Raw genomic sequence first — 26,281 nt, forward strand, 5'->3', positions numbered from 1 at the left:
AAAGAACCATCTGAGAGAGTTGCCACGTTCATCGCTCAATGGTGGGGGAGGGGGAGCAGAGCGCAAAAACAGCACTAAATAGGGCACACAGCTCACGTTTTTACTTGGAAGAAATGGACACTTACGTGGGCTGGGGCAGTTACAAGCTGACATCAGCAAGTTCCTGCCCATGGCTGTTTTCCTGCAGGTTGAAAAACCTGTTTGGACAGCCCTGGCCTGGCCACGTTACAAAATCTGGTCATTGAAGAGATTTCCAAGGCAGAGGCAGTTTCCCACATACGTTCCCACGAGGACTTTGTGCACTGCTCCTTGGCATGGCTGTCTTAATAGCCACGGCTTCAGCTCTAGGGTCTCCCGGAAAGATGGTGTCCTGGTTCCAAGTACCCACTTTCCCCACTTCTTTAAAATTTTTTTTGAGACACGGTCTCGCTCTGTCACCCAGGCTAGAGTGCAGTGGCGCAATCTTGGCTTACTACAACCTCTGCCTCCCAGGCTCAAGTGATCCTCCCACCTCAGCCACCTGACTGAGACCACAGGCGTGCACCACCATAGCCAGCTAATTTTTTAAATTTTGGTAGAGACGGGGTTTCGCCATGTTCCCCAGGCTGGGCAAGACTCCTGAGCTCAAGGGATTCGCCTGCCTCGGCCTCCCAGAGTGCTGGGATTCCAGGTGTGAGCCGCTGTGCCTGGCTTTTCCGTGCTTCTTTACCAATGCTGCATCCAGCACACTTGGAGTAGGAGCGAACCGAGAGTCCTCAATATCTCATTTCCAGGTTCTCTGAGGAGCTCCTGTGACAGCGCCTGCCTCCCTCCCTGTGCAGTATCACCACGTGGGCCCCGGAGGTGAGAGGAGGTTGGGCACAGCTGGCACAGGTCCCTGACTTGCCCAAGTGAAATAGATCTGTGCCCTGGGGTCTGGCAGGAATCCGCGTGGTTGCAAATGGAGATGGACTCATGCAGGTCATTTGTGGAAAGCAGCACCACTCCCTTTGAGAACTCCAGAGAGGGTTTTGGGGGAACCTGAGATGTGGGGATGCTGAGAACAAAAATATCTGAGAACAGATGAGATGGGTGAGCCTCAAGTGGGAAATGGGGAGAGCTGTCATTTCAAGGAACAGCATGAGGCTGGGAAGGAAACCGGTACATCCAGGAACTCTGGGCCACTCTGCTCTTTACGTGGAAAGCAGGAACCCAGGCCAAAAGGCAGGGCTTGGCAAAAAGACCCCAGGAGCATTCTTGCCCTGGCACCTTCTCTGCCAGGCCCCTGAACCTGGTGGCCATCAGATGATTTGTTTCGGGGAGCCCTGCAGAGCAATCAGGCTGACTGTGGACAATCAGGGCAGAGACGGTAGTCAGGAGGCAGTCAGGAGCCTCTCCCTTCTCTTTCCAGAGGTAGTTTCCTTCTGCCTCTTAAATTCAGGTAGCTTCTGATCAGATCAATCCAGAATCTAGGATTATGCTGATGTCGCAGACTCACCATGGGAAACTTGCCCTCATGAACTAGGATGACTTTCCCTGTTTATCCTCAGCAGAAAGAAGGCAAATGCCCTGTATGTGAAAGCGGAACTGCCTGTCCCTGTGGAGAGGCCTGGCTCTGCTGCTCTACCCAGCTTGCTTACAGGCCCTCACTCAACAAACAACGTAACTAATGCGAGGCAATTAAGATATCTCCTGCAGACTCCCAGCATTTAGCTCAAGTGTCTACACGTACAGGCTATTGTTTACAGCTTTTCAAGTCTCTCATCACACCATCAATATTCTTGGTTGGATTAGCACAAACCTCGAGCCAGGAGTCGAGCACTGGCTGGGCTGCCTGCGAAGTAGCTATGGATGGATGTGCTGGTACCTGCAGGCAGCTGGGGTGGAATCTCAGAGGCAGCGGGGAGGAGAGGCAGCCTCTGCTCTATTCTGCCTTCCTCTACCAGGACTGAGCCCACTATCGGCCCCGCCCACCATGAGAGAGGATAACCCACACCTCTGGACCACCCTTTGAGAGGGCCACAGCAGTCCAAAAGCCCTTTAAAAAGTTTCCTACTTTGGGATAGTAAGTTGCTAAATAAATACTTCAAAAATAACCCACAAATTTGCCATTTTGCCATTGTTTCCAGGCCCACCACCCTACCTACTGAAGATAACTGTGAACTTCAACTCACTTATCATCTTTCTCATAAATATTCAGTCCAAGGGCATCAACTCCAAGCCAAAGGTCTGTTCCTTTCTTGTTTTTTATCTCGAAATAGTTGATTCCATACATTTCCAGGTCCTGAGCAATCTTCAGGTATTCCAACATAGCATTATCTCTAATTGGGGAGAGTGAAACAGGCAGAGTCACTGGTAGCACTCAATATCTAGAACAGTAAAACCTTTCCAGTATTTTTAAATTAAGGCGCCTTGTGTAGGATGGGCTCAATGCTGTGTGCTGCGTGCAGGCAGGCAGGGGCCGGGCAGCCGACCGGTGAGGAGGGGACCCATACAGCCCAGAAGCTATGCCTGGGGTGGGGTCCGTGCTGCCCTGGAGCCTCACCACCAAACCCCACACTTTGAAGAAGAACTGATTCACACTGGTTTCTCTAACAGGTTTTTAAGTTTTATCACTCAGCACAATCCTCCTTTTTCTCTTGCCCACACATGTCTTCCCACAACCCTCCTCATAGGCTTTGAGTTGTTTTCCTTCCATAAAGGATGTTTGGGCCAGACAGGAAACCCTGAAGCACAAAATCTGAGGCTCAAACCTCAAACAAACTTCAGAGGCTGAAATAATGCAGACTCGCAAGACTAGGCCAGAGACAAGGCTCTAGGACGAGAACACCCAGAATCAGGTGGCTCGGCCATGTCTTACATTAACAGCCCCACGTCCAGGTTCTCTGACATCAGCATTTCTCACTTGGGATCCTTTTTCATTTATATACACTTTGTAAGACAAGTACCTTCATATAATGAGCAAACCAGCATCTCTTTGACAGAATAATGCTGATTGCAGGTGAACAATGCCCCTCTGACTAAGATGAAGTTTAGACACAACACTTTCTACAAAGGGAGGGTGTAAGCTTTTAGAACCTGAAGGCTTGAGCTAAACTGCTTCTTTCCCCAGGCAAGACACCTGGCTTTGTTTAAAAAAAACCTCTTCCCTAAGAAAACCCCACTTTTAACTCGGTTCCCTCAAGGTCTTCACAAGGCCTGACACAGAGCCCTTTAAAGCACTAACTAGAGTCACAGGAAAAGACATGCTGGAGCGCACGGAGATGGCAAGATCCCAACAGCAGGGCACAGCACTCACTTGAGCATCCCACGGTGTTCCGCATGCCACACCTGGATCCGGTCCTCCCACTGGTCCCTGGTAAGTTTGTGCTGGTCCATCACTCTGGAATGCAAAAGGAAACAGCACTGTCATCCTTAAGGAATGTGACAGGCAAGGAAGGAGGCCCACTTACCACCCACATTCAAACCCTTACTTTCCATTCAAATCAATCAATCCCAAAGAGCTTTGGTTTCTATTTCCTGATGTGCAGCATTTCTATTTATGACAGTTAATCTGGAAGACTTAGCATTTTGAACAAGAACTCAGTTCTGCTGGAAAAACTAAGAGGTATTTTAAGTGGCCTCTTCTTCCAAATGGGGTAATTTTTGTGACCATTACTAAATAAAAACAGATTTCACAGGGGCAACCTATCATACCCCAGGAGGAGCTGAGCAGTCAGGTCGAGAAGTTTGCTATGCCATGTCCCACAGGACACGGCCACGCTTTAGTTTCCATGAGGAATGGCAGCTCGCCTTCCCTGGCTATGTTTCAGGTCGCTGGTCAGTGACTTAATGACTAGCATGAAGGAGCACTTGACACTGGCGAAGTCCTTGTGTTTTTAAACTGTGCTTCTAAGGCAATCACTTCTCCCTGCCGAGGACGGCATGACTGCTCCTGCCCAGGCCGGGTCATCCTGTGCTCACCTTTGAGGGATCAGCCGCTCAGAGCTGAGGTACCCAGACTTGTGCACTTCTTTGTTGTAGTCCCCAAACTTGGCCTGCACAGCGTAGGACCCCAAGAGCACGGCAGTCTCAGGGGGGCAGTAGATCTCATCGCTAAGGATTCCTTCCTTCACTTGGAGGAAGAAAAGTTTCTGGGTGATGTCCTGGATGAGCTCCTCAGCCACATCTTCAGGGTAGAACTTGGCCCGGAACTTGAACTGGAGGGGATTCTCCTTCCTGACCTCCTGGGCAGACACCTGCACGAAACAAGCCACACTCTCCACACAAATCCGGAAGACGAAGGCCCACTGTCCCCAACACAGGCTTCTAACCAAGACTCAATGGGGCCCTCAAGCCAGTTTTCAGGAGATATTTATTCTTAAAGTCATCTTTTTAGCACTCCAGACAAAAAAAGGTTAGTCAAAAGTGCTACCACAGGCCAGACATGGTGGCTCATGCCTATAATCCCAGTGCTTTGGGAGGCCAAGGCAGGAGGATCACTTGAGCCCAGGAGTTTAAGACCAGCCTGGGCAACGTAGAAGAGATCCCATCTCTACAACATTTTTTAAAAAAAAGTTAGCTGGGGATGGTGATGCATGCTTATAGTCCCAGTTACTCAAGAAGCTGAGCAGGAGGAACCCTGGAGCTCAGGAGTTCGAGACTGCAGTGAGCTATGATGGCGCCACTGCACTCCAGCCTGGGTGACAGAGCAAGACCCTGTCTCTTCTTAAAAAACAACAACAAACAAACAAAAACAAAAAAACAGGCCAGGCATGGTGGCTCACGACTGTAATCCCAGCACTTTGGGAGGCTGAGGTGGGCGGACCACGAGGTCAGGAGTTCGAGACTAGCCTGACCAACATGGTGAAACCCCATCTCTACTAAAAATACAAAAAAATTAGCCGGGCATGATGGCATGCAGCTGTAGTCCCAGCTACTTGGGAGGCTGAGGCAGGAGAATCACTTGAACCCAGGAGGTGGAGGTTGCAGTGAGCCAAGATCGTGCCACTGCACCCCAGCCTGGGCGACAGAGCAAGACTCCATCTCAAAACAACAACAACAAAAAACAAACAAGTACTATCACACTCTTGTGCTCAGCTGGAAATCAAAGCTACTGCCTCACTAAGCCCCAGTCCTCATGGGATGATGCTATCAATCCTGGAGAACTCAAATTTGGAAATGACCCCAGTGACCTGGAATGGGGCCACATGCCAATCGGGCCCTGGACCCCGAAACTTACTGTTAAGAATTCCTCCTGCTCCTCCACTCTTCCCCACCTCCCATCATCTTTTTAACTTGTTGCTGTGACTTGGGAGGACAGTGGGGGTTTCAAAAAAAAAAAAAAGGATAATTTTCAGAGTTTGAAGAAAATGTTTATCTTACTACTTTTCTTTTTGGTTGGTTAATGGAATTATCCACTCTTTAAAGTTGGAAGATAATCTGTCACAGGTTCAAACAAAGCAATAACAGGTTCTTACAAGATGGTGGATGATTCACAGTTTATAAGATTAACAATCTCATTGAAAAAACTAAGGTCAACTAAAAGCTATGCAATTAACCATCATATGCTCCAATGAGTGAGCACTATGGAGAAATGCCAGATCTGATTTCCAATCGATATCTCCATTTACTGGAAACCTGCAACCTTTTTGTCTGTAAAAACTTTTACACAAACAAAAAGGAACAGAAAACAAAAGACAGGGTGAGTTGCTCCAGTTTCCTTATCGATGAAGCAGACCAACACCCAATCCACAGCCTGTAAATAGTTAATCCTGACTTGCCTTCTTATCCAGCTTCAGCCAGGTAGGAAATCCTTTATTATCCACATAGTGGAGGCCAAAGTACCACACTTCCCGGAGGCCGATAGTCTTTACCACCTGCGTGAGAGAGAGAGAGGCTCAACACTCATGAGAAACTCACTCAAAAGGGCAACAGCTTTTGGCTGTCGTTCATCACATGGTCTAGCAGAGTCCCCAGGAAACCAGGACATCTGCTCAGTCCAACCACTGGGCAACATCTTTTTTTGCACTCAAATAACTTGTTACTAACTGAGGCTATTATCTCAAAGCCATGAACGACTTATTTTTAATATAAATTTGAGCAGATTCAGGGTTCTACCTTCAAATCTTAGAAAATCTCACTCCTACTCCTTTGTACTCCAGGATGCTCTCCTGCATGAAACTCAGCAGGGCGGGTTATGGCCAGCACACACAGAACCATGGGAGCCCACAGCCCCCCAGGGAACAGTGCGGTGGGTGCATCGCTGCCGGTCAGGTGTGCTCATGCAGAAGACTAAAGCATCCAGTGCCACACCTGAGCCTCCTCTGGCTGCCTGCCTCTGCCTCTCAGCCAGCTGGCCCAGGGGTCTGACTTACTAGGAACAGGGACAAAGAAATCCTAGGAAAGGCAGGAAAACAGGCAAGGCAGACTTCTGGGACGGAAGGGTGTCAATGCACAGGGGTGCCCAGAGGAACCTGCATCTTATAGACCTCCAGAAATGGGACATTCTGATACAGCAAAGGTAGAATCCCGACCCTAGGTCACAGCAAAGATTTCACATTTTCAAGCCTCTGTTGTGCATTACAGGAGTCCTGAGCTGCTTAGTCTCACGACTGTCTTGTAAACAGAAAAGCAGTGATAGTCGAACTTGCTGTGGACATTTGTTGAACATCATCTAAACCGAGTCCCAGACAAGTTCGACTATTTACATATACATAGATGTCTAATTTAAAATCCCATGATATATAATGTTAAACTTTAAAAAATGCTACCATCCTTCAAATACATGGCTTCTATCATATTTAATGCCAAAGAGGGTTGAATACATTAGAAATGACAACTCAGGTATACAGAGCATTTGCTTAAAGTAAATCCTAAAATTCCAAATTAACTCCTGATCTGGGCCTGTTTCTTCATCTGAAGGGTGCAGGGAGGCCAGAGGCTCCCTAAAGCTCTAGAAGTCTGTTTATTAAATGCCCAGGACTGACCTGTTCTTCCCCCTCTTCCCACTCACCCAAAAGGGATGGGGGAAGGCTGCAAGCTGAGCGTGGTGGCTCACACTTGTAATCCCAGCACTTTGGGAGGCCAAGACGGGTGGATCACTTGAGTTCAGGAGTTCGAGACTAGCCTGGCAAACATGGCGAAACCCTGTCTCTATTAAAAATACAAAAATTAGCAGGGCGTGGTAGCATGTGCCTGTAATCCCAACTATTCGGGGAGCTGATGCAGGAGAATTGCTTGAACCTGTGAGACAGAGGTTGCAGTGAGCTGAGATTGCACCATTGCACTCCAGCCGGGGCAACAGAGTGAGATTCAGTCTCAAAGAAAAAAAAAAAAAACAACGCTGTATTTGAAGCAGCTGTTATTGGGGAAAAAAGTATTTAATAAGTAAGTAGTAATATCACTAATAAATACTTGATTTAAAAAAATCTTCCAATTTTAAAAAGTGAATTATTTCTCTAAATCTTCATTTCTTCCTTTCATAGATGTTCAGGTACGATCACTTAGAAATGAGAAGCTGCAGCAACTGAGACAACTAAGGCTCACTCATCCACGCAGTGAGAGGGGTTCTACTCTGGAGGTGGAGGCAGCTGCGGGTAGGAAGCCGCGTCTCTAATACAGGGTGAGAGACACACAGGCCAGCACCTCCTTACAATGACAAGCACAATAACTCTCTTTTCAGTCCTTTGCTTCCATGCCTGGTAACACACTGAATCCGCCTGACTTTATACAACAGACAGCTGTGTGCTTTCATACACCTCACTTCCTAGGCATGATATACTTGTCTGTTAATGCATTTTATAATGCTATCATGAAATACTTTCACCTTTTAAAAGATCCTTCTCATCTATTACCTCAAGTGAGTAAAACAAGGTAATATGCTTCGCAAACAAAATAACTGAAATGTTGCAAAACAGTTTTTTTTTGTAGGTGGAGTTAACTCTCAAGTTCAGAGACCAACCTGATCAAAAAGCTGTTTTCCAGTTGTATTTGGCTGGATTGCAAACTCCAGCTCTGCATCCATGGTGGTAACTCGGACATTGATCTGAAAAACAGAATGAAACAAATTACGCTTAACTGAGTATTCTTTTCTTCTAATAACCTCCTGCACCTTCTACATAAGCTGCTCCTCAGTGTGGCGACGGCATATGCCTGACATCAGTTCCTGTGCTAGTCAGGAAGCCACACACCACTCCTGACTGCAGATGGCTGGGGATGTCTCAGGAGGCACACAGTGCAAACCAAACGCAGCTTCTTTGCTTTAATAAAGCACACTGACACTTAGGTCTAAGCAGTTTTTCTCTTTTCTTTGAGACAGGCTCTTGCTCTGTCACCCAAGCTGGAGTGCAGTGGCACGATCACAGCTCACTAGTCATGATCTCCCAGGCTCACACGAACGCCTCCCACCTCAGCCTCTTGAGTAGCTGGCACTATAGGTGCCACCATGCCTAGCTCGTTTTGTTTTTTACTTTTTGTAGAGACGGGGTCTCACTATGTTGCCTAGGCTGGTCTTGAGCTCCTAGGCTCAAGCAAGCCTCCCATCTCAGCCTCCCATAGTGCTGAGATTATAGGCATGGGCCACCCTGCCCAACCTAAGCAGTTTTTTTCTTTTTTGTTAAAACAATACTTTAACCTATTTTTCCATGCACCATCTCATATGAGCCTTACGACAGCCAAGGGAGGCAGGAGGGCTCCCAAGGCACCAAGGAAGTCAGAGAAGGGAAGAGAGAAAGAGCTTTGAATCAGAAGGTTTGAAGCAACCTTAGAAACCATAGTGAGAGAGAAATGGTGAAATGTCCAAAGACACATCAAAAATGGATTATGTAGTGATATTAAATTATAATTACGAAAATAGTAGAAACTGGGCAAATTGCTTCTGAAATAAAAAATACGACAAGCAACACTCAATGCAAATGTGAACTCTGTTTAGACAAGACATGAAAATAAAATGTAAAAATGGAAATAGTATGAGGATGGTGAGACACAGAATTGAGGAGGTGGAGATGGGAGGGCCTTAAAATATTTCTAATGTTGCCATGTAGTTGTTTTAAAAAAACAAAACACTGTCGGGCGCATTGGCTCACACACCTGTAATCCCAGCACTTCGGGAGGCCGAGGCAGGTGGACCACTTGAGGTCAGGAGTTCAAGACCAGCCTGGCTAACATGGTGAAGCCCTATCTCTATTAAAAATACAAAATTAGCTGGGCATAGTGGCGCACGCCTGTAGTCCCAGCTACTTGGGAGGCTGAGGCAGGAGAATCGCTTGAACCCAGGAGGCGGAGGTTGCAGTGAGCCAAGATTGTGCCACTGCATTCCAGCCTCGGCTCCGGAGCAAGACTCCATCTCAAAACAAACAAACAAAAAAAACCCACCACCACAACAACAAAACAACCCACTTACATCAAGGCAGTTTTCAAATTTATCACTTGAGAAAACCCAGATTTACTAAAGTGTATGAAAAACACTCAAATCTGGCTACTTTATGTCACTGTCCCAAAGAAAACAGCAGAGCCACATAGCAACTATAATGCTTAATATTAAGAAATGCTTGCTTCTCACCATTTTTCAAGTGAAATATACAGAAGCTGGAGAGATACCTATCCCGGATTCTTCCTAACACAGGTGTAAATGTAATAAGGACGTATTACCTGTGCCAGTATATGGCGACAGAGGTTTCGTTATCCAGCCAGGGAACCAGAAATATTAAGCACTCACCAAATGTCACTTCCTACTTCAGGAACATAATTAGTCTCCCCAGCCGCTCCCACCCCGTCCCAATAACATTTAAGACTATGACTGAGAGATCCTCTAACATGCATCCAATATGCCCTTAAAGGCTCCCCGACTGGTACAACAAGTACAGAAGTATCGTTTTCCAGATCTTGTTTCAAAAGTTTTCTCCACAATCCCCAAGTCCAGAAGTTAAAGAACTCAAGTTTACTAGGAGGCAACGAGACATGTTTTAAAGTCTTTAATCATACTAAAATATAAAAACCTACTTTTCTTTCATTTCCTGCTGGTAATTTTTTTAAAATCACAAAATGGCTGTTATGAAGCATAAAATAAAAGCACGCATTTCTCTCAATTATGGTTCCAAGGGCATGTATTAGAGATGGGAAAACCAGCCCCAAGTCAAATATCTCAATAACAAATGCAGCTCCAGCTACATACACAGAAGCCAACAATGACATAACACACTAAAACTAAAGTGGAGGGGCGTTTGCTCACAAATGCAGAACCCTGGATATGCCACCTTTCTTTCTCTGCTATCTACTGGTTCAGAAGTGGGAACCCCAAGTACAATTAGAACTGAAGGCCACTGTCTGGTTAGGACAAAGACAAATGACCAGAGTCCATGCACACGAGATTTCAGACTCCATTTTTTTTTTTTTTTTTTTTGAGACAGAGTCTTTCTCTGTCGCCCAGGCTGGAGTGCAGTGGTGTGATCTTGGCTCACTGCAAGCTCCGCCTCCCAGGTTCCTGCCATTCTCCTGCCTTAGCCTCCCGAGTAGCTGGGACTACAGGTGCCCGCCACAACACCCAGCTAATTTTTTGTATTTTTAGTAGAGACAGGGTTTCACCGTGTTAGCCAGGATGGTCTCAATCTCCTGATCTTGTCATCTGCCTGCCTCGGCCTCCCAAAGTGCTGGGATTACAGGCGTGAGCCACCGCGCCCGGCCCAGACTCCAAATTCTAAACCTGAGTCTCTTCTAAGTTTGAAGACAGTGTGAAAATGACATCTCCTGAAACCAAAGCTAATAATTAACATTAAAAAGATATTAAGCATTTTGCAAACTGACTAGCAGGAATTTAGAATAACTTATTTTTGGTTCTGAAACAGTTTCATATCTGACTGAAAGTTCACACAACCCTTTTAAAAAGCAATTAACTTGTTTTCTTTTTTTGAGATGGAGTCTCCTCTGTCGCCCAGGTTGGAGTGCAGTGGCATCATCTCAGCACTGCAACCTCTGCCTCCTGGGTTCAAACGATTCTCCTGCCTCGGCCTCCCAAGCAGCTGGGATTACAGATGCCAGCCACTACACCCAGCTAAATTTTGTAATTTTAGTAGAGACAGGGTTTCACCATGTTGGCCAGGCTGGTCTCAAACTCCTGACTGTGCCTGGCCTGAAAAAGCAAGTAACTTGTAAAACGGATACTTTTACTGAGGTTGGTTTTAACAACCCAGTAGCGTGTAGAAAGTGAACTTAAAAATTGGCTGGGCACAGTGGCTCACGTAATCCCAGCACTTTGGGAGGCCGAGGAGGGCAGATCACGAGGTCAGGAGATGGAGATCATCCTGGCTAACACGATGAAACCCCATCTCTACTAAAAATAGAAAAGATTATCCAGGTGTGCGGGCGCCTGTAGTCACAGCTACTCGGGAGGCTGAGGCAGGAGAATGGCATCAACCCGGGAGGTGGAGCTTGCAGTGAGCCAAGATCGGGCCACTGCACTCCAGCCTGGGCAACAGGGCAAGACTCCATCTCAAAAAAAAAAAAAAGTAAGCTACTGAGAAGTTCTGCATGAGTCAACAAATCTACACCTCCTAACAAAAGGACTTCATCTGAGCACCAGCAGCTCCAACACAATGCCAACTCTTAGCTGGTCCGATCATTCCACAAAATTTTTTACCTATGCTCCAACACCCATGGGCAATCATTCCCTATGGTACGCAACCTCAAACAATTATTGCAAGTCTAAAGATCAGGGAGGCCAGGCCCATTGGCTCATGCCTGTAATCCCAGCACTGTGGGAAACCAAGGCAGGCAGATCACTTGAGTCCAGGAATTTGAGACCAGCCTGGGCAACAAGTCAAGACCCCATCTCTCTACAAAAAATCATTCAGGCTGGAGTGCAGTGAGCTATGATCGAGCCACTGCACTCCAGCCTGAATGAAAGAGTGAGATCCTCTTTTAAAAAAATAAAAATGATGATCAGGGAGTTGTTCTGGCACTGCAGTAATAAAACTAGGACCAGCAATAGGAATCCATTGGCCCTGTTAAAAGGAATAATTTCCAGTTCTGATTTGGGGACACACCAGAACCTTAAGAACCCCTTCTTAGAATCACAGTTTTAATATATATATATATTCATACATAGGGCAGGCTCTACAATCTGTATCTTTACATAGAGATTGAAGAGAAGATACTCAAAATCTAAACAGGTAAATGAATACTATGTTAATGAGCTGCTTTAAGTTAAAGGGCATGTCTGTTACTTGATTAGTCATTACCCTACTAGTGTTTCCCACTGGGGGTGCTCTTGTCATTCTGGACAGCACAAGTATTCATTCTGCAAGACTATCCCAAGCACTCAGGAACGTTTAGCATCCTTAAGCCATCCAATGACTGAGTGTCCCCAGTCACTGGAACATCTAAAAGCAACCCCATCCACACACACATTTCCAAATGCTCTATGGGGAAAAGGGAGGAGATCCTCCCCAGATTAAGTACCACAGCATGGCACTGCCTTACCCTACTGCATGATAAACAGTTCCATGTTTAGAAAGGCCAATTATTTTCAATGTTATAGATAAAATAATGTGCTACAATACAGCATAAGCTTTCACCAAAATTTAAAATGAGACATTCACTGAGATGACAGGACCATTTACATACATACTTTGTCTACTTATCCAAGGGCTTGGGGAAAAAAAACAGACTTTGGGGCCACATGCAGTGGTTCACGCCTGTAATCCCAGCACTTTGGGAGGCCAAGGTGGGTGGCTCACTAGAGGTCAGGCGTTCGAGACCGGCCTGGCCAACACAGTGAAGCCCCGTCTCTACTAAAAATACAAAAATTAGCCGGGCGTGGTACCACGTGCCCATACATAGTCCCAGCTTCTTGGGAGGCTGAGGCAGGAGAATTGCTTGAACCTGGGAGGCGGAGCTTGCAGTGAGCAAGATCGCGCCACTGCACTCCAGCCTGGGTGATACAGCGAAGACTCAAAACCACCACAACCACCACCAGCACTACCACCAGCACCAGCACCAGCACCACCACCACCAGGCTTTGGCAATTGAGAAAACACATCTAAATCCCAACTTTCCATTTTATTATCAGGGTGTTAGGTTTCCCTCATCAGCAACTGTTTTTAGTGAACTCAACATATTTGAATGCCAACTGGTTCTTGTATCTTCAATAATGCCAGAGGAATAAGATGGTACTGGGACTGTATGATTCTGATACACACAAGGATTGTCCCATAAAAAACTCAAGTCCATGGGCTTAAACACACCACCACACATATCCAAACTATGTGCAGACTGGAGAAAAAGAGCGCGTGGTCTGCAGTTTTTATTGTCTTAGTAATTCCCCTCAGATTACACAGTTATCAAAAACGGTGTTCAGTGAAGGCAACGCAATCACGTGTAGTACAGGTGTGTGTATAGTAAGCAGTTAGTCATCCAAGATCTACCCAAAAAAGGGCAATATTTCTCCCAGGCTTGCCAAAATATTAAAAACTTTTAAAAGTTATGCTTAGCTTGGGGGTGTTGGTGGTGATTTAAGTTTAACTTTACTCCTGTACCACTACCAAGACAAAAAGAACCATGTGGTTGACGGTACAGATGAAGCTAATGAAAAACCAATACTGTTTATACTCTCCCTTTGCTTAATAATCTACTCTTTAAAAAAGTCTAGGCCAGGCGCAGTGGCTCACACCTGTAATCACAGCACTCTGGGGGGCCAAGGCAGGCAGATCACTTGATGTCAGGAGTTCAAGACCAGCGCTGGCCAACATGGTAAAACCCCATCTCTACTAAAAATATAAAAATTAGCCAAATGTGGTGGCACACACCTGTAATCCCAGCTACTCAGGAGGCTGAGGAGAGAGAATCGCTTGAACCTGGGAGGCGGAGGTTGCAATGAGCCAAGATCACGCCACTGCACTCCAGCCTAGGTGACAGGGTGAGACTCCATCGCAAAAAATAAATAAATAAATAAATAAATAATTCTATTTGTTGGCCAAATATAATGGCTCAGGCCTGTAATCGCAGGACTTTGGGGAGCCAAGGCAGGAGGATCTCAAGGCGAGGAGTTTGAGACTACCCTGGGCAACATAGCAAGAACCCATCTCTAACTTTTAAAAACGTAAAAAAAAAAATTGTATTTGTGTTATTACAGGTTAGCTCAGCTCGAACTTACTATACTACAGGATGAACCACAATAGCTTTATTCTTCTAATGTTCCATGGCCACAGACTACAGGACCAACCCCTGCTAGTGGGCACCTAACATGTTCATTCGATCCACAAATACCAATTAACTACTGCAAGGTGTGCCAGGCACCTCGATGGGCACTGTGAGTACAGAGAGGCATTAGCCCTTCCTATCCCCGAGTGGCTTACACATTAATGAAGATGGGTGTGCCTCAGTGATCACACACCACAGTGCTTCCCACATCAGCCTCACCATCAGAATCCCCACAGAAGCTTTTCAAACACCCGCAGCCCAGGAAGCTGTCACTTCCACAAGTGATTTTGAGGAGGCCAAATTTGGGAATCACTGGAAGGCAAGAGACGGGAGACAGAGGGCCTGGGTTTGAGAGCTAGCTCTGTAATCTGAGGACCCCTAGCTGATGACTTCCTGCCACTGGGCCTCTACCTGATCTGCAGGTAGAGTTTGGACTAGATGGCTTGAGGCCTTTTCCCACTCTGAAATGCTAGGTTCAAAGCCCACAGGCCAGGTGTGACACAGCCAGTGCCATCGGACAGTAGAGGTGTAAGTACCCCCTGAAGGGTCTCCCTCCTTAGGGGACACATGCCAATGGAACCAGAGGTCCAATAAATACTCTCTGACCACTAGGAGAAAAGTAACCCACTAGAATGCTATTCAAGGCCAGCAAGTAGAGTGTTTTCACGGAGAAGGGACAACACACCTGTGTTCACTTTCCCAAGAAGGAAAGTACCCCTCCAGGCAGACACACGACAGCACAGGTGTTACCACTCCAATGCAACCGACATGCAAGGTGTTAAACCCCAAGCTGCTTTATTTTTAAATAAACTCAGTAACAATTCGCCTTATTAAAACAAAATAAACCCAACATCCTCTTTGCTCATTCCCTGGAGCACCTGAGCCTGGCACACAGGCCTGGCGGCAGGGGTGGCCCCAGCCTCACTCAGGCCAACCCTGTTCCTCTCCCTTGCTGCTGATATTGAGTGGCTGGAGACCATTTAATCTGTGAGCATCTTCCAGCTCGATCATTCTATGACTTAAAATCATCTTGCCTGGCTTTTGACACCATCCCAAGCCAGCAGCTATGTAGTCCTCTTTGAAATTATTTGGCTTTGAAAGGGAAAGGGACAAAAATGGGGATATGCTGTGGGGGCAGTGTTTGGAGGTCACGTAACTCTGCAGTGGTTAAGGTGGGGTTTTCTGTTTCTTCCTTCTTTAGCTGAAAGGCTGTTGCCTGTCTGCCATGTTGATGCCAACAGTGGCAGTCCAAGACGGGGCCACAGTCTCCACTTCACAGATTGTTCTGCCCACAGGTTATTTCCACGGAGCATCCCAGGGAACTAGGATTTTTCAGAATATAGTTGGGAAAACATGATTTCTGAGTCTTCCCAGTTTAATTTTATCAAAATGGCATCTTAAAATGCCTTCTAAGAGTGTAAGGAATGAAAAAGGTACCAAGTTGACAATCAAATTTTGTATTTTGCTTCTAATCTATGAATATAATTGCTGAATATTTGGCCAAATTATTTCCCAGGTATTTTCCTCATTTTGGTAAATAAATATAGGTATGCAATTTTTCCTTTGGGAAGCATCCATTTCCTCTGAATATTTTAAACTTATAGGTTACCTCTACAATCACACTTTTTACAGCATAAATTCAAACTGTAATAAAAGCCCAAGACAGGAGGGAAAAGTCCAAGATCAGTTCCTCCACAAACATTACAGGAGAGCAACCCTTGAGTCTTAGACAAAAGAACCAGATTTAATTTCAGTGGCCAGAACACTGCAGGAAAAAAGTTTGCAATAATTTTTTTATGTACTCAAAAATCAGGAAAACCATGTAAAATAAGAAAGGGAAATTCAAATGGGAGCATTTGAATGTCTGAATTTCAGGCAGTGGATTCAGTGGTTAACAGATTAATCCCTATATTATCACACCTGCCATTTACTCAAAAACCAGTCTGAGTAGAGCCATCCAGCCACCACCAAGATTACATTGCGAGCTTGACCTTCCATATCATTTAAAATGTCAACGCTGTTTTCCAACATTCCAGCCTTCTTCCGAAGGTGCCACTTCAGCAACTTTTAACAGCTTTCAAATATTTGGATAAGACCTTTCAAATACTTAGAAATGCTCTGATAGAAAGTAGATACAGTAAATTTTCTCCCACAAATGGGAGTATGATAGGGAAAATTCTTACAACCAATGATAAATGAATTAAAAACTTTGCAGCTATTTTGGTTCACTTAATTGGGTAATTATAGAGACAAAACTGTATATTTTTCCTTTCATGTTGAGTCACTATGTACTTTAAATAGCAGCTATTGAAATGTAACTTACCATAAAATTTACCCATGGAAAATGTATAATTCAGTGGTTTTTAGTATATTCAGAGTTATGCAACTGACACTGCTATCTAGTTTTGGAATAGTTTGTCAGCCCAAAAAGAAACTCCATGGCCACTGGCAGTCACTCTGCATTCCTCCTGATCCCTCAGCCCCTGGAAACCACCAATCTACTTTCTGTCTCTAAGGAATGGCCTATTCTGGACATTTCAGAGAGACAGAATTTTGTAATATGCAGTCTTTCATGACTGAATCCCATGACTTAGCATAATGTTTAAAAGGGTTATTCATGTTGTAGCATGTACCAGCACTTCATTCTTTTTTTACTGCCCAGGAATATTCCATTGTGTGGCTGTCACTTCTGTCTACCCATTCAGGTGATGGACATTTAACTTGCTCCTTGTTGCTTTTAGCAATTGCAAATAAGAAACAGCTGAAAAACAATGGCATTCAAACTAGACTGTGGTCATTTTCAAAAGAATAAAAATCTTTAGGGAGAAACAAAATGAATTTTTAAAAACTAAACTTTTTGGGTTTACTGTTTTTAAGTTCTAAATGAAAATATTCTATGTTCTTAGAAGTTGCTGGCTGCCAAACTGACACCAACACAGTAGCGGCGCTCCAATCATGCATGGCCATGCTGCACTCTGCCGCCTTAGCCCTCACTGCTTCTGGGCGCTATGGGGTGCCCCACCAGGGCAGAGCTGAGAGGCTGGCTCAGCTCTGCTTCAGAGACCTCCCTCGATGGAAAAGGGACTTAGTTTGCTGCTCCGCTTTTTTTTTTTTTTTTTTTTTTTTTGAGAAAGGGTCTCTCGCTCTGTTGCCCAGGCTGGAGTGCAGTGGCGTGATCTCAGCTCACTGCAACCTCTGCCTCCAGGGTTCAAGAGATTCTCCCACCTTAGCCTCCTTAGCTGGGACCACAGGCACCTGCCACCACAGCCGGCTAATTTTTCTATTTTTTGTAGAGATGGAGTTTCACCATGTTGCCCAGGGTGGCCTCGAACTCCTGACCTCAAGGGATCCGCCCACCTCAGTTTCTCAAAGTGCTGGGATTACAAGTGTAAGCCACTGCTCCACATTTAACTCCAATGATGCTGAGCACAACCCAGCACTCTAATTACAAAAATTTGTTTTGTTATAACTGAACATTCCCTTTCTATTTTAGACTTTCTTGGCTGAACATCTCTCTCCCCCAGCCCTATTCACGGCTGCTCACAAAAACATGACAATACCAGGCATGGTTCATGAAGTCTGGTGTGGGAAGAGGCCTGGCTCACACCCCTTTGAAGTCATTTAAGACATATGGCCAGCTGTACCTTATATGCAGCCATTCACAGGCCCTCGAGGCGCTCAAACTTGAACATGTGAAAAAAAATCACCCAGGGGCTTGTTAAAACAGTTTCCTGGACCCCAGGCTAAGGGTCTGACTCAGGTTGGGAGGGGCCTACATTTCCATGTTTACCGGCTCACAGCTGATGCCAAGGTCACGCTATGACCAACAGTGCCCGGGCGGCAGGGGGCAGAACCTGCCATCAGGAAAACGCAAAAGGACATGACCTGTTTGGCCAAGATTAATGTATTTACCTCTGCTGATTTATAATCCTTTATATAAAAACATCCTTACTAAGTCTCCATTTGTTGTACTAGCAGACAGGTTTTCTCTAATGAAACCTCAGATCACAACAGATGGACTCACATATTTTAATAGTCTCTCTGGATCCTAATCCCCTTATCTCACTGTCTCCATAAACAATATGCCAACTGAATAAATTATAGCACTAGCTATGACAGACATTGGTCGTTTTCCACAAATGCTGGCTAACAGCCAAGCTCTGTAAAACATTACCATTGACTTAGCAAACCTCAACCAGCTTAGTGCAGAAATGCAGATACTCTAATTCGGTCAAGGCAGGCAAAGCAGAAAAGCCCGAGAGGCAAGTGAATTGTCTGTAGGTTTTTTTAAAGCTCTTCTTTCTCCCCATCACCAGCCTTTTTTGGAGTGTCACAGTAATGGCTAACATTGAAAATATAACTTTGTTTCCATGTATTATATGAAGCGAACATCTTTCTTACATGAACAATGCTGCTCCCAGTAACAGACTGTTTTATATACAAAATTATATCAATGTAATTGCAATTGAAAACCCAATGACGACTTTTTACATTATTATGGTTTCCAGCAAGCATATGGTTAGAATGCCCAAGTTTTACTCCAGAAGGGCAGTCCAGAAACCACCCTGTTATAAATAACATTCTTTCAAGGACAGAGAGGGCTGAGATGAGAACCACTATGTTGCTAAAGGTATTTATCAAAATATTCAAAACATTATTAGAGAAGTAAAATAGCAAGGTGGTCCTTAAAATATTATTTTCTATTAAATGAAGTCTCTCTATATATATCATCAATTTATGACACTGACCTGACAGTATACTTGGCAAAGACATCAACACCACTGGTCAGGGCTCTTCTCTAATTCCCGCCCATAGCAGTGGCCATGTCACCAAGGAAAGGAAGGGCTAGAAGAAATTCCAGGGACACACATTTAAGCTCCCTTTTTCCTCAGAGATCCCTGTTCTGATAAGCGTTCTCTCTCAACATCAGCCTTCTTGAGCTAAGTGTCCTTGTTGACTTTTAGGAGGTGGAAATAACAGTATAAATACATGACGCTAGGCTGGGCACGGTGGCTCATGCCTATAATCCTACCACTTTGGGAGGCTGAGGCAGGTGGATCACTTGAGACCAGCAGTTCGAGACCAGCCTGGCCAACATGGCGAAACCCCATCTCCACTAAAAATACAAAATATTAGCCGGGTGTGGTGGTGCACATTGGTAATCCCAGATACACCAGGGAATAAGGCAGGACAATCGCTTGAACCTGGGAGGTGGAGGCTGCAGTGTGCCGAGATTGCACCACTGCACTCCAGCCTGGGTGACAGAGTGAGACTGTCTCAAAAAGAAAAAAAAATTGTACTAATAAAATAATCCTGAGGCATATCTGCAAATGCAATGGATGAAGATGTAGAACACGGCTACTCCTTTCTATCAAGCTTTCTGTATCTTAAATTATACCTGATTATTTTATATGACCTCTTCTTTTAAGGTTAAAGAAGAACATGAGCGCAAAGGCAAAGAAATCTTGGCCAGGCACAGTGGCTCACTCCTGTAACCCTAGCACTTTGGAAGGCCAATGTGGGAAGATCACTTGGGCCTAGGAGGTCGAGCCTGCAGTGAGCCATGCTTGCGCCACCACACTGGGTAACAGAACCCTGTCTTTTTAATTTTTTTTGAGACAGGGTCTCGCTCTGTCAAGGCTGGAGTGCAGTGGCACAATCTCGGCTCACTGTAGCCTCCACCTCCCGGGTTCAAGCGATTCTCCTGCCTCAGTCTCCAGAGTATCTGGGATTACAGGCGTGCATCACCATGCCCAGCTAACTTTTGTATTTTTGGTAGAGACGGGGTTTCACCATGTTGCCAGCCAGGCTGGTCTTGAACTAGGCAGGGTGCTGGGATTACAGGCATGAGAACCCTGTCTCCAAAAACAAACAAAAAAAATCTGCTTGTCTATCGGGCTCAGGAAAATGTTCAGATGCCAAAGGCCAGCCATCTATCTAAGCTCCACAAATCTTGTAAAAAGTGCACAGAATTGTAACAAAAATTGTCACATAATTCAGTAACATTTCAGTGCGCCATTTTATCTGCAGCACAATAACAAAAACATGGGTACGCTAGTTATAAAACTCATTCTGATAAGTTTTCATATAATTATATAACACCAGGATATGTACTAGTCTTTTACTGCCTGAGTAATAGGAATAATAAAATCATCCAGTGTTGGAACTCACAAGAGTCCACTTGTCACAACCCTGATAACCACTATAACCAGCACTCCCCACAGGGGTCAAAGTGCTAGCTCCTCATCCTCAGTTATTCCTCTAGCTTTCCTAGGAATCATGGACAGTCATACTATTCCCAGGAACATGACGCACAAAAGTCACTGGCCAGGTGGCAGAGTTCCGAGTACAGACCAGTGTTAGCTGCTGTGGGACGTCCTGGGGCCCATGATGGAGCTGCAGACACTGTGCGTTGCGACAGCTGTTGTTCCCCATCAGGAAGCTAAACCAGCAGGACAATTCAAGCTTGGCCACACATGGATTGATAATGACAGTTAATGGAATGACTTAGTTGCCTGTAGGCAGTGTCTGTCTACCAAAAAACGTAACCCACCACAACGTAGTGCCCTTTAGATTGAAACAATCTGGCCTCCCCACCCATTCCTTCTTGCCAGGTGTAAAGGGCATTCATTGGTTAGTACCTGCCCAGGTGCTAATTACTAATGAAAGCAAGGTCATAACTACAGACTTCAGCATCTAAGGAGCCAACTTAACTCTATGGAAAACCAAGTAGCTGTAGCTAGAGTTTCTCAGTTCAGTCCTTATTTTAGGAAATGGGAGTACAACTTTTAACCTGAATAAAAAGGCTTTCGGTACAGTCACTGTTTCAAATTTTAACTGCCAGCAAGTCTGGCAGAAAGGAAAATTTACCAAATATCAATTTTTATGATTTTTTGATGCGTTGTTTATACTCATTCACATCTAAATATTTACAAACACCTTATAGTTTAGTTCTTCTGGAATATTTGTATACTTCTACTTGACTATGGCTAGTTAGGTTTTTGGTGGTAGTGTTTTGTTTGTTTTTTGAGGCGGAGTTTCACTCTTGTTGCCCAGGCTGGAGTGCAGTGGCGCAATCTCGGCTCACTGCAACCTCCACCTCCCGGGTTCAAGCGATTCTCCTGCCTCAGCCTCCCGAGTAGCCGGGATTATAGGCATGTGCCACCACGCCCAGCTAATTTTTGTATTTTTAGTAGAAACGGGGTTTCACCATGTTAAGTTAGATGGTCTCGATCTCCTGACCTCGTAATCCACCCGCCTTGGCCTCCCAAAGTGCTGGGATTACAGGTGTGAGCCACCGCGCCCGGCCAGGTTTTTGCTTATTTAAGCACAAGAACCATACATGGTTTATCCCTCGAATACAGCATCCAGCCCATGTCCAGTATCCTAGGGGCCGTGTCTCCTACCCTGCGATTCTCCTGACACCACAGGGAAGCAGGAACTCATTTCCCAGAGAAGCCAGAAGCACTTTAAGGAACTTTTTGAGTAATTTAAATGATGAAAAGTAACACTACATGCCACTCACACCTCCTTTTCTAAACTGTTCTCCTTACTACTTCCTCCAGCACCACCATTAGGCTAAACTTAAAATGTCAAGGCTAAATTCTTAATGTGCAGCAGACGTTAACAGGGCAGAGTATTGACACAGAAGTGGGGGCTGGGAATTTCCTAGTAACTGACTTTTCACGTATCTACATGATGTTACATTTTTATGTTATATAAACGTATGTTTTAAGTAGCCAATCAGAATAGTGATGAAGTATAACTGGTAGAGTGACTCCAAATGAGTACTCGATACGAGGTATACGGTTATCCTCGTCTGATGACCTTTTTTTAATGGTTACAAAAACTGAGACCCTCAACTTCTGGTAATCAGCTACCAAAATATCTGTGTAGCTCTGGCTCTTTAACATTACTCCTAAAATAGTATCTTTAAATAGATGCCAATGGTTTTATGCTTTTGAAAAGTTTGTATTTACCAACTCCAGGGTAAATATTATGTAACATTATATATATATATATATGTATATATATATATATATATATATATATATATATATACATATATATATATATATATATATACATATATATATATATATATACATATACATACATATATATATATATATACATATATATATATAAAATATACAGAGAGAGTCCAGAATAATAGCCACCCCATAATTTCAAGAACATGTAATGAAATCTCAAATCCTAAATAGCTCTCCTTTTTCCTCTGAGAGTAAGCCACTTCCTGCCCCTAGACCCACATCCTGTCAGACCAAGGCTGCTTAACAAACACAAAAAGCGGACAAACCAGTCCCATCTGTGCTCATTATTATCAGCAAGAAAATCATGACCTTAGAACTAGAAGGGAACTTTCTGGGCATTCACATTCAAAAGAGGGTCATTTTAAAACCAGGTTGGGAAGAGTTCTGTGCTAAGCCCTCCCTACTGTCCACTGCATCTGGGAGGCAGAAAGGAGCTGCTTTCCATAGGTCTGACAATGAAATGACTGCTAGTCATGCCCGAGTTCCAAGCCTGCACTGCCGAGTAACACTGATGGCCATTTCCGACCTGCTGATGGCGTATGAAAATAATGCTCCTGATACCTATTAGCTGCTAGTTTTTAAGGCCCTTTTTGGTGAGTGTCTCTAATTAAGAACCAACTTCTTCTACACTGGAAATAACATACATTGTGTGTTATCTAACAGGGAAGTAAACTGGAATTCTTAGACACCACTTTCCCCTAAGAAAGGGAAAAGAAATAATCAAAGGATGTTACATTCAGCAAAAGAAACTATTCTTTCTAGAAACACAATCTACATCCTTCTCATCTCCTTACCTCAGGGCAGGCAAAATAAAGAGAAAGGGACCTTGAACAAGAATTTATCTAATAAACTCCTGAAGTCTAAGTCTTGATTGTATACCATGTGATTTCAGTTTCACTAGGTATATCATAAATACTTCATCACCAACATGCTTCACTGAAATGTGCAGGTAATTATACACAGAAACTTAAGTTTAGTAACTACTTAGTAAACTTAGTAACTACACACATAAACAAAAGTAAGGGACAAGGCCAAGATGGCTTATTATATGCTAGAGTCGGTTTTAATTGTAGGCTCAGAAAAGATAGGGAACTAAAGGCCTATAGATTAAACATCACTATTCACCTGGAATGCATGGTTGTCTCTGCAAATTTAGAAGCCTGTGAAGAGTTTTTCCTTTCTTTTTTTCTTATTTTTTTTTATTATACTTTAAGTTTTAGGGTACATGTGCACATTGTGCAGGTTAGTTACATATGTATACATGTGCCATGCTGGTGCGCTGCACCCACTAACTCGTCATCTAGCATTAGGTATATCTCCCGATGCTATCCCTCCCCCCTCCCCCCACCCCACAACAGTCCCCAGAGTGTGATATTCCCCTTCCTGTGTCCATGTGATCTCATTGTTCAATTCCCACCTATGAGTGAGAATATGCGGTGTTTGGTTTTTTGTTCTTGCGATAGTTTACTGAGAATGATGATTTCCAATTTCTGATCTTGGGAGTGAGAAGGTGAGTCTAGGAAACAATGAGGCTGAGGTGGGTGGATCACGAGGTCAGGCGACCAAGACCATCCTGGCCAACATGGTGAAACCATCTCTACTAAAAATACAAAAATTAGCCGGGCATGGTGGCGTGTGCCTGCAATCCCAGCTACTCGTGGGGCTGAGGCAGGAGAATCGCTTGAACCAGGGAGTCGGAGGCTGCAGTGAGCCTACATGGCGCCACTGCACTCCCAGCCTGGTGACAGAGACTCCATCTCAGGAAAAAAAAAAAAAAAAAAAAAAAAAGGTCGAAAAATTTCTTTGCTAACCTGTTTTTTAGAGGACATAAGACATAAACCATACTTAAGTCTTGTGCCATTGCTGAGATAAATTTTTGCCCCTAGTTAAGATCACATGAGCAATATTATACAATGTTAAAGAACATTTCTCCTGTAAGAAACTTCGATTAGACAAGATTTGAACTCACCCCAGTCTTTACTTTTGCCATGTGTCAAAAATTAGCAAGACCAAAGTAGCTTCTTTTAAAAAATCCAAACTAAATCAGTAATCTTACAAAATTTGCTTAAATAAGCAAACCCTGCCAAAACTTTTAAAATCACCATTTCTGAAATTATACTAAATTAAAATTAAAAAAACTCTTCAATTTATACTGTCAGTATCAAGTATGTTACATCTGAAATGGCATTATAATTTGTACATCATTACTTGACTGGAAAAGACATGGTGTACATTTTACAACCCTATCACTCACCCCAACCCCAACCCATGGTTTGCTGTATTTCCTTCCCCCATCCCTGCCCACAGCCCCAGTATGTAGATTGATCTCTTAAAATGGCTAAAGCCCTACCCAGTAGATGCCCCTTATTTTGTTCATTTCAATTTTCAAGTCTGAGAAAATCGCTATTAAGACAATGACCTGTTCCCAGTTGGGTCACAGCACTGTGCCCCATTCCTATGGGCCCCCCAAAACATTGGGAATACAAAGTAATAGTGGAAAAAACTGGGAACAAATCGTTCTATGTGTTTCCAAGTCAGCTGCAATTTTGAGTAGTGACCTCCTTTTAAAACATGTGCATGGAGGGTGAGATGGCCCGGGTGGGGCCATTTGATGAGATCAAATCAGTTACTCATTTGATCCAGAGCACAAAGGTTGCCCCAGCAGCAGGGAATGGGGGACCTGCCCTCGCCCTGAGATCCTCCCACCTCAACACTCAGGCACTTCATGACGAGCAAAAGTAAAGCATCTCTCCCTTTCTACCCTATAACATGCTTTTTAAAAGCAAATATTCTATTATGGAAAGTTGAAAACATTCATAAAAGTAGAGAGAATAAGTAGTACCATGATCCTCCACACTCTCTTTTCAGCTTCAACACCATTCTTTCTTCTACTCTACCACTTTCACTTTTTTTTTTTTTTGCTGGCATATTTTAAGGCCCTCATTCATTATTTCACTTGTAAAAACTTCAGTATATTGCTCTAAAGCACTAAAAAAAAAAATCACAATACCATTATCACATCCAACATAATTTAAAACAATTCCTTAATACGTCAAGTTCAGTAAATATTATTCAATTTTCCTCCATTTCTTTGAAAATGTCTTTTTGCAGTTGATTTGTTCAAGTTATATAATGCACCTTGTTATCACACTATTTCCACATTGCCTTGTTCAGCCACGTTCTAAATAAAAAATCCAGTTTTCTCACCATTATCTGTCTAAATCCATTTAAGAGTCTCACCCAAACAGCAATGGATTATGTAAGCAAATACTTCAACATCCCAGCAGCCAACACCCTTAATTATTTAACTGAGGCAATGAAACACACCTTAATGAAAATACTGTACCAATATACACTACATATATGTTTACAAATAAAGTGATTCCAATCTCATATTTATGTGCTAAGCTTTAACCAAGTGACCTGTGGTTCAATTTTCTCTTTAAAAACATAACAGGCCAGGCGCAGTGGCTCACGCCTGTAATCCCAGCACTTTGGGAGGCTGAGGCGGGCGGATCATGAGGTCAGGAGATCAAGACTGTCCTGGCTAACATGGTGAAACCCCGTCTCTACTAAAAAATACAAAAAAAATTAGCCGAGTGTGATGGCTGGCGCCTGTAGTCCCAGCTACTCGGGAGGCTGAGGCAGGAGAATGGCGTGAACCCGGGAGGTGGAGCTTGCGGTGAGTCCAGATCACACCACTGCACTCCAGCCTGGGCGACAGACAGAGACTCCGTCTCAAAAAAAAAAAAAAAAAACAAACAAAAAAGACAAGGCTGGATCCCAAGACATATTTTATAAGAAATTTACAGATGAAGTAATGGTGCAATAGGTAAAATACTATCAAAACAATCATTTCCCTGAACCACAGCACCTGAGAAAGGATGGAAGAGTAAGTGGGTTTGGAAATGATGGACTTATCACCAAACCCTTGCAAAAACAAGTTCTTGAAGAAAGACCATCATGGTTCACTGTCCAACCCAAAAGTGATTTACCAGAAAACCAACAAAAACACATCACAGTGGGCCCACTCCTAAGTCACTCTGCCCAGTGGTTTTAACGCTTCAAAGAGT

At 44.1% G+C, this 26,281-nt stretch overlaps 1 protein-coding gene across 3 annotated transcripts in view, besides 3 other annotated features; it reads right to left on the bottom strand.

Moving 5' to 3' along the window:
- The window catches only part of EZR (ezrin), a 53,621-nt gene that overhangs the window by 15,619 nt on the left and 11,721 nt on the right, over nucleotides 1–26,281 (bottom strand). For 2 of the 3 annotated variants that reach the window (NM_001111077.2, NM_003379.5), the window contains 5 exons: nucleotides 7,922–8,005; nucleotides 5,742–5,837; nucleotides 3,943–4,217; nucleotides 3,278–3,361; nucleotides 2,154–2,300 (listed from right to left, as the gene is read on the bottom strand). In NM_001111077.2, the coding sequence (NP_001104547.1) occupies nucleotides 2,154–2,300; nucleotides 3,278–3,361; nucleotides 3,943–4,217; nucleotides 5,742–5,837; nucleotides 7,922–8,005 (686 nt within the window). Of the gene's footprint in view, nucleotides 1–2,153; nucleotides 2,301–3,277; nucleotides 3,362–3,942; nucleotides 4,218–5,741; nucleotides 5,838–7,921; nucleotides 8,006–26,281 lie in introns of those variants that run through there. The other variant, XM_011536110.2, reaches the window with a different exon arrangement.
- Nucleotides 2,828–4,027: an enhancer, noted in NCBI's record as "P300/CBP strongly-dependent group 1 enhancer chr6:159205226-159206425 (GRCh37/hg19 assembly coordinates)". NCBI's record gives its function as "activates an origin of replication core promoter dependent on BRD2, BRD4, P300/CBP, MED14 and CDK7 cofactors, with strong dependence on P300/CBP, by STARR-seq in HCT116 cells {active_cell/tissue: HCT116}" and the evidence as "EXISTENCE:reporter gene assay evidence [ECO:0000049][PMID:35650434]".
- Nucleotides 17,347–17,546: an enhancer, noted in NCBI's record as "active region_25363". NCBI's record gives its function as "activates an Ori minimal core promoter by ATAC-STARR-seq in GM12878 lymphoblastoid cells {active_cell/tissue: GM12878}" and the evidence as "EXISTENCE:reporter gene assay evidence [ECO:0000049][PMID:35858748]".
- Nucleotides 22,432–22,541: an enhancer, noted in NCBI's record as "active region_25364". NCBI's record gives its function as "activates an Ori minimal core promoter by ATAC-STARR-seq in GM12878 lymphoblastoid cells {active_cell/tissue: GM12878}" and the evidence as "EXISTENCE:reporter gene assay evidence [ECO:0000049][PMID:35858748]".

Source organism: Homo sapiens, chromosome 6, assembly GCF_000001405.40.
Source record: "Homo sapiens chromosome 6, GRCh38.p14 Primary Assembly".
NCBI lineage: Eukaryota > Metazoa > Chordata > Mammalia > Primates > Hominidae > Homo > Homo sapiens.